The following is a 10901-nucleotide window of genomic DNA, read 5'->3' as shown; positions in this document are numbered from 1 at the left end:
CTCCAGGGTATGGTTTTGTAATAACATAAGGACACATAGGTGCCAAACACAAGTGACCCCAGGCATATGTGAAGGAGGCAGGAGTACATTGCTTTTAATAGCAACTTGATCTGTGCCCAATGTACTGCTAAGTCAATAACAATGTTTGAGGTACCACTCTGCTCTGCGTTCATGTAACATTGACCACCAGTAGAATCTGGATAGAAAAGATTTGTCTTCTGGGAAGAACAATGAAAGGTATTTTGGAATCTAGGCATCTCTCTCTTTCCTCTTTCTGAATGGACTCGGGAATTTAACAGAAGAAACAATAGCATCAAGGGGAATGAAATAGTAGTATGCTAAAATCCAATTCCTGTTTTAAAAAGCTGAGTGGAACATCCACTTTAAGTGAAATTTAAGCCTAATGCCTGAAATTACATTCCCAGCCTGCATGAGCTGTAGATGAAATGGAAGCTGAGATGACATTAAGCTGACAACCAACTTATCTGTGGTGGATCAGCAAATAAATAGAGTTTTGAAACTAGTATGAGCAAGATTTCATACATAGCCTCACTTTCATCACAGCCTTCTTTTATGTTTATGTTTCTTGGTCTCTGTGACTGTAGAGGCTAACTGGGATGCTCAAAGTGGAGAAGATGAGAAGCCGGGTTTGTTGGGCTCCTCTCCCCTTAGTATAAGATCCCCTAAGGGTGTAATCCTTACATAGACCAAGGCTACAGAAAGCATTGGTTATACGGAATTTTAACTGTAGTAAATTTGGTGTCCATTATCCTCACAACAAAGAGCATTGCTACCCTTTCCATCTGTTAGTATATTCATGGAGTTATGCAACCATCACGATTATCTAAGTTTAGAACATTTTAATCATCCAGAAGAAACCCAGGTATCCATTAGTAGTCACTCCCATCCCCCTTTCCCCAGTCCTAGGCAACGACTAATCTACTTTCTGCCTCCATAGATTTGCTTATTGTGTACATTTCATTTGAGTGGAATAATATAAGATGTGCCCTTTTGATACAAGTTTCTTTTACTTAGCATAATGTTCTGATAACTCATCCATGTTTAGCAATGTAGCAGTACTTCATTTCTGTTGCTGAATAATTATATATTAATTGTATGAATTAGAGAACATTTTATCTACTTATCAGCTAATAAAAATTTGTATTATTTGGCTACTACGGATAATGGTGCAATGAACACTCATATACATTTTTTTTTGTAGAAGTTTGTTTTCATTTCTCTTGGGTATATCCCTAAGAATGTAACTGCTGGTCATATATTAGTAGTAACCCTATATTTAACTTTTTTGAGCAATGACCAACTGTTTTCCAAAGGGCTAGAGCATTTTACATGTATGAGAGTTCCAATTTCTTCACATTTTTTGCTAACTTATTATTATCTGTCTTTTTGATTATAGCCATCCTAGTGGGCATGAAATGTTATCTCACAGTGGTTTTGATTTGCATTTCTCTCGTGGCCGATGAGGTTGGTTGTGTTAGTCCATTTGCATCGCTATAAAGGAATAACTGAGACTGGATAATTTACAAAGAAAAGAGGTTTATTTGGCTCAAGGTTCTGCAGGCTGTACCTGAAGCATAGTGCTGGCATCTACTTCTGGTGAGGGCCTCATGAAGCTTAACAATCATGGCAGAAAGCAAAGGAGAGCCAGCATGTCACGTGGCAAGAGACAGAGCAAGCAGGGGGTTGGAGTTGGGGTGGGAAGGTGCCATGCTCTTTTAAGCAACAAGATCTCATATGAACTCATCACCACTCATTACTGCAGGGAGGGTACCAAGCCATTCATGACAAATCCACCCTCATGACCCAATACCACACATCAGGCCCCACCTTCAACACTGGGGATCACATTTCAACACGAGATTTGGAGGGGACAAACATTCAAACTATATCATTGGATGAACATCTTTTCATGTACTTAGTGGCCATTTTATATCTCTTCTTTTGGAGAAATTTCTATTCAAATCCTTTACCCATTTTAAAGCTGAGTCGTTTTTATTATTGAGTTGAAAGAGCTCTTTATATATCTTCAATACCAGTCCTTTTATCAGATACATGATTTGCAAGTATTTTCTATCATTCTGTGGTTGTCTTTTCACTATCTTGAAGATATTGGTTTCAGCATAAAAATTTTAAAATTTGGTGTAGTCCAATTTATCTATATCTTTTTCTGTTACTTATGCTTTTGGCATTGTATCTAAGAAAACATAGTCAACCAAGGACAGAGATTTATATCTAAGTATTCTTCTGAATTTTATAGTTTTAGCTCTTACATCTAGGCCTATAATTCACTTTGAGTTAATTTTTGTGTGTGGTTTAAGGAAGGAGTACAACTTCTTTTGCTTTTCATGTGGATATCCACTTGTCCCAGGACCATTTGTTGAACAGACTATTCTTTCCCCATAGAATCATCTTGACACCTTTGTTGAAAAATCAATTGGCCATAGATGTATGAGTTTATTTCTGGACTCTCAATTCTATTCCATTGATCTATATTCTTATCCTATTCCAGTCTTGTATTGTCTTGATTACTGTAGCCTTGTGGAAAATTTTGAAATCAGGAAGTGTGAGTTCATCAAAATTGCTTTTCTTTGTGAAGTTTGTTTTGGCTATTCTAGGTCCCTTGCATTTTTATATGAATTTTAGTATTATCTTGTCAATTTTTGTCAAAAATATAGTTGAGATTTGACACGGATTGCATTGAATTTGTAGATAAATTTGAGGACTTTTGCCATCTTAACAATAACAAATCTTCTAGAGACCCACAAATACAGGATGTCTTTCCATTTATTTAGGTCTTCTTTATTTTAACAATGTTTTGTAGTTTTCAGTGTACAAGTGTTGCATTTCTTTTGTTAAGTTTATTCTTAAGTACTTTATTCTTTTTGGTTCTATTTTAAATGGAATTTTTCCTTAATTTTACTTTCAGAATGCTTACTGCTAGTACATAGAAATAAATACAACCAATTTTTGTATATTCATCTCAAGTCTTGCAAACTTGTTGAACTCATTTGTTATTTCCAATAGCTTTTTGTGAATTCCTTAGGATTTTATATGCACAAGTTCGTATTATCTGTGAAGAGAGATAGTTTACTTCTTCTTTTCCAATATGAATGTCTTATTTATTTTTCTTGCCTAATTGCCCTGGCTAGAACCTCCATTATGATGTTGAATAGAAGTGGTGAGAGTGGACATCCTATTCTTGGATGGACATCCTCATCCGTTCTTGCTCTTATGGGGAAAGCATTCAGTCTTTCATCATTAAGTGTAATATTAACTGTAGGTTTTCATAAATGCTGTTTTTCAAGTGGAGGGAGATACCTTCTGCCATGGGTTGAATGCGTCCCCTCCCAAATTCATGTTGAAACTTAATTTCCATTGTAATGGTATTAAGAGATGAAGCCTTTTGGAAAGTGGTTAGGTCATGAGGGCCTTGCCCTCATCAGTGGATTAGTGCCTTATAGAAGGATTGGGGGGATCTAGCTCAGCAGACCTTTTTGCCCTTCTACCTTCTACCATTTGAGGATACAGCGTTCACCTCTTCTGCCATGTCAGGATGCAGCAAGGAGGGCTTCACAGACACAGAATGAGGCCTTCCCAGCCTCCAGACCTGTGAGAAATAAATTTTTATTGTTTATAAATTACCCAGTCTATGGTATTTTATTATAGCAGCACAAATAGACTAAGGCATCTTCTATTCCATTCCCAGTTTGGTAAGTGGTTTTATCCAGAAGGGTTGTTGGACTTTGTTAGATACAATACTTTTACTGTGTCTATTGAAATGATCACGAGGTCTTTGTCATTTATTCTGTTTATATGGTTTATTACACTGATTTTTGTTTGTAAACAAACTTTGTTAACTTGCATTACTTGGATAAATCCCACTTGGTCATGGTGTATAATCCTTTTTATATGTTGCTGGGTAAGTTTGCTAGTATTTTATAGAAGATTTTCTAACTTATATTTACAAGGAACCTTGGCTTATAGTTTTCTTTTTTGTGATGCTTTTGCCTGGTTCTGGTATCACAATAATACTGGCCTCATAGAATGAGTTGGGAAGTGTTCCCTCTTGTTCTATTTTTTTTTTTAGAAAACTGCAAAGAATTGGTATTGTTTCAATGAGTGGTAGAATTCACTCAGAGAAGCTGTCTGGTCCTGAGATTTTCTTCATGGTAAATTTAAAATTAGTAACTTACGCTTTTTATCTGTTACAGATTTACTGAGATTTTCTATTTCTTCTTGAGTCTTGTTTTGTGTTTGCATTTTCTAGGAGTTTTTCCATTTCATCTAAGTTATCTAATTTATTGGTATATGGTTTTTCATAGTATTCCTTTGTAATGCTTTTTATTTCTGTAAGATTGATAGTGATCTTTCTTTTTTTCCTGATTTTGGTAATTTGAGTCTTTTTCTTTGTCAGTCTACACAAAATTACAGTAGTAATTTATCTATAGGACTTTTATGTGTAGAGTTTGCTTTAATACAGGAATTAAACAAAAATTCCTGAAGGCATTTCTTCTCATTTCTTGGTCTTCCCAGGATGTAACCTCCCCGTTTTCTCTCTACCATGCTCATAAGGATTGCTTACTCCTTCCTTTTATCCCCCAGTTATGCCATCCTCTTCTTTGTCCTTCAGGACACAATTTTGATCTCATATTCCAACATCTAATCAAATCAAGGGGTCCAGTGAAGTACATTTCAATGTCTGTGTGTGTTTCTTTGGTGTCTTTGCCCAATCTCGTGTAGCACTACTGACTCCAGCCTTTTTATTTTAAATTATCACAATTCAGAAATTCACTTTACTTCATAGACGTATTCTAAGTTTCATGCTTGGGAAGTCTATTTTGTTCATGCCATTTGAATTCAAAGTTTAACAACAAACTTGCTGCATCATATTTAGACACCCAGGATTTTGTTTCTGGAAGGATTTTAGAGATTATCCAGGATTAAGCAGCAGCCACTCAGTACCAGTCAGTTGTTGCCAGATGGGAATGAGAACCTACTGTGGCTGGATCTTCTCATTAAAACAAACAAACAAACATAAATCTGGATATTCGTGGGAAACCTCCAAATTTTTAAATGAAAGCAATGAATTAAAAACTCTTAAAACTGTGCTAACGTCAAGGACCCTGTTCTTTTAGTTTATTTGTATCCTGTTTTGTCCTCAGCACGCAATGGATTGGTAATGTTCTTGAAGAGTTTAGTTTAAGGAATTCTAGGAGATTATAGGTCTTGCTGTATCTTAAGAATGACATAAACAAAAAAAAGTTATTATCTTCCGCCCTTTAATATAAATATAGGCTATTTGGAACCAGATGGGTATTAAGAAGCTATGTGAGTGAACTTTCTTCCCTCCTTAAACTTTTACACTTGATTAACTAGTCATTTATGAAGTTGGATCTTCAAAGACACTTTATATTAGCCCTGGGAGTTGTCCCTTCTACTCAGCTAGAAATTGAAGTGATACTTTAAAATTAAGCATCTGTTCTCCTATTCAGCTCAAGCTTTAAGGATTGGTGTCTTCTGGAAGTGAGGTGTCCATAAAGAAGCATCCTGGGCAATTTGACATTCATAGAAAATGGCTTGGAAAACATGCCCATGGTGAGTCCAGCACCATTGTTCGAGGCAAAACTGTCAACATGTTTAAAGCCATCCTGGGAAATGACTAAAGACACGCACATTTTAAAAACTGAAAACGAGTGCTATTTGTTTTGGAGCTAGAGATAGAATACCCCTTTTGATCTTTTTCTTTTTCTCCCTGGCTGATCTCGGGATTTGATTTCTCTATTCAGAAAAAGAGCGTGGTTGAACATTTTGCTCCCTTAAGAGTTTCTGAGCCCTTAACAGCTGACTGGCATAGTCCATAGTTTCCTGATACCTTTCTTAAGATTTCCTTCCTGAGGAAACTGTGTCTCACAGAGGAGGAACGACGCCTCTGACCACATCCTGCTGTTCTTGTGTGTGGTTGAGCAGTTTTTATCAGATCTCAGGGAAAGGCAAGGTGAAGTCACCTCCTAACACTTCTCTTTTTTCCCTATAGACGTTTAGAACTAGAAGCCTTAGAGCTGGCACAACTGGATGTGTAAATATGTTTTGCCAAGTAAGGAGATCCATTTAAACAGGGACCATTTAATGGTGAAAATGAAAATCTTGAGCATTCAGCCTGGGAGATGACTGATGCTGGAGAATGCCAATAAATGTATAAAAATCTCTCTATTGAAAAATCAAAGTGCTTTTACATCCTTGTCTGTGACTTCTGTTTTTAATCCATTTAGGCAATGTTGATTTTTTCTCTCTTAATGAATAGCAATTGAGCTGTACATTTTACATACCAGTAAGTGACTACGAGATGCTTTTGAAAATTAGCCACCAGCAAGTACATTTCACATCTGAAGCAACATTTTGGCAGATGGACTCAGCTTAAAATTGGGACTGCCGTGAATAGTCCCAATTTCAGAATCAAGTTAATTCCATGTGGAACCCCACCAAACCTTTAGGCATTAAACGGAGCATGGTGTAAATCCTCGATGTGTACATTGCACTTGATGAGATGGCTGGCCATCCTAGTAAAAAGTGAGTCCAGAGGCTAGACATCTGGTGTGGTTGTTTTTGCAAAATACATTGTCACATTGCAGCATATAGAAAAATAATAATTGTCATTCTCTTTTGCCGCCATTCCTCCCAGGAGTGTGTTTTTGTCTGCTCTCCTGTCAAAATTATGTTAAACAGTAAAAATAAAAAATATGCTTCATAGTTTTCCAAACTTATCTTTCTCAGTTGGTTGCTCTTAAGGAATGTGACTTATGACCTCTACTTTTGGATGCTGCAGTTTCTTTCTTTCTCACGCATATAAGTAAGGTCTGCTCACAGGGTAAAGGAGGAGGATGTATGTTTTTCCAATGCCGACTTTCTTTTATTACCTGCTTGTATTTATATCAAAGAACATGTTGTATTTCCTCCTTTTCTGAAAGTCACTTACTCCACTTCATTTTGCTTTCCAGTTCTGGTTAATATTTATTATTTTGAAGTCTTAGTTTTATTTTCGTAAACGTTGAGATCTGTGACTTCAAATTATTATTCATTTACCCATTATAAATATCTTTTTTTTTTTTTTTGAGACAGTCTTGCTCTGTCACCCAGGCTGGAAGATAGTGGTGCAACCTTGGCTCACTGCAACCTCTGCCTCCCAGGTTCAAGTGATTCTTGTGCCTCAGACTCCCGAGTAGCTGGGATTACAGGTGTGCACCACCATGCCTGGGTAATTTTTGTATTTTTCGTAGAGACAGGGCTTTGCCATGTTGGTCTCGAACTCCTGGCCATGAGTGATCTGCCCACCTGGACCTCCCAAAGTGCTGGGACTACAAGCATGAGCCACCGCGCCCAGCCCATTATAAATATCTTTTAAGTGTTTAATTTACTGGAGTATCAAAATACTTAAATTGATGAAGCTAGTATGGCTTGTTTACCATGAATTCTAACTTTGAGATGTTCTGAAAGTGAAGTTAAGTAGAATGTAATGATTTGATCCATATATCTCACCTCTTCAGTCCAAGGGCTGTAGGTTAGAAGTTAGAATGGGAAAGGAGTAGAGGTGTTTTTTCGTCTCTCTTCTGTCTGGAAAACTAACCCTATCCTGTTGTACATTTGTCAAATCCTACTTGTCCTTCAAGCATCTTGATACACTGGTAGCATTAATCATGTATTATACAACTCCTTACACTGATGCACTATGAAAAGCTTCTTTCATGCAATGTTTCTTTAAATATAGGAAGTTTTAATGGACATTTGGGGCCATGCTTTCAATTACACTTTGAAGAGACTTTCCCCAAATTGCTACTGTCAAAGAGAACCCTATGTTAAAAAAGAGGGGACAGAGCAATTTATATCAATGAAAAAAATTTCTAAACTTTATTGCAATCACTGTATTGTTCACCAACAAAAAGGTAGACTGTATTTTGAAGGCTTCTACTAGAGACTGCGCTGCCACTTGGCTGAATTGCCGTGGCTTTACTGTGAGTGAATCTCTGCCCCTAAAATGAAATCTCTTCCTTAGTGTGGTTATAAGTTTTCATTCTTTCATAATAAATCTAGCCCAAAGACATTTCTTTACTGTAAATTTGCCTCCACAGAAGTGCTCATAAACAGTATCTGCCTCCATTACCTGTGGTAGACCCAAGTTTGACCATTTTGTAGAGTAAGCATATGCACTAAGAATCAATATGTGTTTTATTAGCACCAAGAGACTCATTGGATTGCTTTTTTTTCTTTTTACCTTTATGGGCAATTGCTATAAAAAGGTAAATTAAAAAGTTAACCATCTGCTACCTCACTTTTCATTTAAAATCTTTTATTTGATTACTCTTTCCAGGTAATCAATGCTTTCTATTTTGCTATTATGCTAGCTAGTGAATGAAGGTGGTTTTCACTTATAGCTTTTATTTATCTAACGGTATTGTCAGAGTCACAGTCTTTATGCGTCCTATTAGTAGTCTGGAAAATATTTCTTACTACATCGAAACAGAACAAAATTCAATTTAGAAATATAATTTCCTGCCATGGAGACACTTGATAACAGGGGGGAGATTAATGGAGCCCAGTGACAGAAACTTGATTTAAGGCAGGAGATTAATACTGCTTTATCAGCCTACACTGCAAGTGAATTGGCTCCTAAAGAAAAAAAATCTGTTTGAAGTTGCTGAGTTGTCTGCTTGTCGGTTGGAAAAAGGTCCCTGGACATCTATTTTGTTATTGCTGAGTATTTGCTGCAAGCTTGTCTATTTGACAACATAGGAACAAACCTGCTCACAACACCAGTCTTGCTTATTTTACAGTAGTAACATGTTTCTTATTATTCCTTTTGATCCCACAGGAAGCTTGGATGCTGTGGAGGTCAGCCTCTGACTTAAGGGGATTATATTCAGTAAATAATGTCAAAATTAACGAATAGAATTGTGCTGACACTTCAGTTTGGTTGGATTTAAGTAAAATGTTTAAATGGTATTTTTAATTGCAAAGCTCCTGCCCCTAAGTCCCATTATAAATATTTTTTTTCTATCCTTGACAGAAGTCATTAATTTCCTTTTCCAACTAGAAAAGTACGAATCTTCCAGAACAACCTCAAGTAAATCTGAAGATTACCTTAATAGATTGAAACGCTCACTGTATATGTTCTGAAACAAAATTTGGAGCTTAGTGAACTGTTAGAAATAAGTGCTAAAGGAAGTGGGTCCAAATTTTGAGTTTGATTCCCAGGAAATGAACGCATTTATATTGCTGGAATTAAATTTTTAAACTTGCTCTTGAGCTATGTGAATTTTTTAACTTGATATTTGTCTGGAAAATAAAAAAGAAATCGAATGAGTTCCTCACCCAGTGGCTTCAGAATAACGGCCATATGTTTTTCAAAAGCTAGAAATTTTAAGTTAATAGCTTAGTTACCTTATTACTGAGGGAAAGAGAAATGTTTAACAACTTCTGTTTGTTTTTACTGACTTTGAAATTTTGTAGAAATGAACTGAAAATGTTTTTCATTAATTTAAGTTCTGTAATAGAGTATTTTGCCGGAAGTCAGAATATCTAGATTGTAGTACTAGGTCAGTTAACAACTTTCTGGGTTCTTATGGTAATTTTTAAACCACTTTCTATTTCCAAGAGAACTGAAGGGTAATAATAATACCTATCTTACCACATCACACAGTTACTGAGAATATCAAATGAAATGATTTCTGCAAAATATTTAGACACAGAAAGGGCTATAGGAATATAAACAGTGTTACTTAAAATATTATTAGTATGTATAAACTACTTTAAATATATTGCATTTAGGATTTTCTTAGGGGAAGATGCGTAATTTCACAGACATCTACCTTAATTTTATGATGATGTGACTGAAACCATTAGTAGTTATTGGAATTGATCCACTGAAGGTTGTTTACTTTTTAAAAAATATCTGGAGAATAACTAACCTGTAGTGCATTTGTTCTTGGAACCAAACATGTGGAATAATTGAAATAAGAGAAATGTGGGGTTCATTTCATTTGCTCACTGTGAGCTCTCAATACATGGAAAGCAGGAATGGTATGACTGAATAATAGTGAAAATGAACAGCCTGGTGGACATGAGTTCTAAGGACTCCAGGCCAGATTCTTTGGGTGCTGCCCTGTCTGATGTCAGCTGTGTGACCTTTTTAGGCTTCATTAGCTTGTCCACTTCGTTTGGTGCTTGAGAAAACACATAAGCCTGCAGGGAACATTAGGCCCTGTTAAAACTATTTTCCTGGCTTGCAGGCACATACCAAACTCCCAGGTAAAGCACATTAAAGTGGCTAAACATTCACTCAGAGGGGAAGGAGTTGCTTTCAGGAATTTAAAATCATTTCTAAGTCTTAGAATTCAGCAGAGGACGACCTAAAAATGTTTTTAATTTCAATGAACATGCATATGCTTTTCTTTCCTCTTGTTTCACTGATCCAGAGGGACCCTCAGCGAATATGCCCCTTTGACCTTTTCCTAGTCATGCAATTACCCTCATCCTGCTTTTTCTCTTTTGCACTTCCTTTCCCAAATAGCCTTTCTTTGGTGGTGTGGTTTAAATTGTGCAGCGCCTACTTCAGATATGGCCACCTGGATTAACTTTAATCCTCCACTCTGACTTGGCTGGGACCTGACCATCAAGGGCACTGCCCTCTTGGGAGCCAGTCTGGGTTTTGCCTGAGGTTCACAGCAACCCAAAATATTTACAAACATTTCGTTTTCCATCCTTGGGAATGCAGTATGGAAGATTTTAGTTTCTCTCTTTTTTTTTTTTTTTTCTTTTTTAACTCCCTCTTCTCTGTGCTGAGTGACATTTGGGAACACGAGAAACAGGTATGAAGATTACCAACTGCG

The 10901-nt window shown here is 36.5% G+C and overlaps 1 annotated feature.

The window, feature by feature from the left end:
• Nucleotides 8644–8844: a silencer, noted in NCBI's record as "peak5988 fragment used in MPRA reporter construct". NCBI's record gives its function as "represses an SCP1 promoter by STARR-seq MPRAs in K562 erythroleukemia cells {active_cell/tissue: K562}" and the evidence as "EXISTENCE:reporter gene assay evidence [ECO:0000049][PMID:32103011]".

Source organism: Homo sapiens, chromosome 6, assembly GCF_000001405.40.
Source record: "Homo sapiens chromosome 6, GRCh38.p14 Primary Assembly".
Taxonomy (NCBI): Eukaryota; Metazoa; Chordata; class Mammalia; order Primates; family Hominidae; genus Homo; species Homo sapiens.
This window is presented reverse-complemented; position numbering and strand designations above follow the sequence as displayed.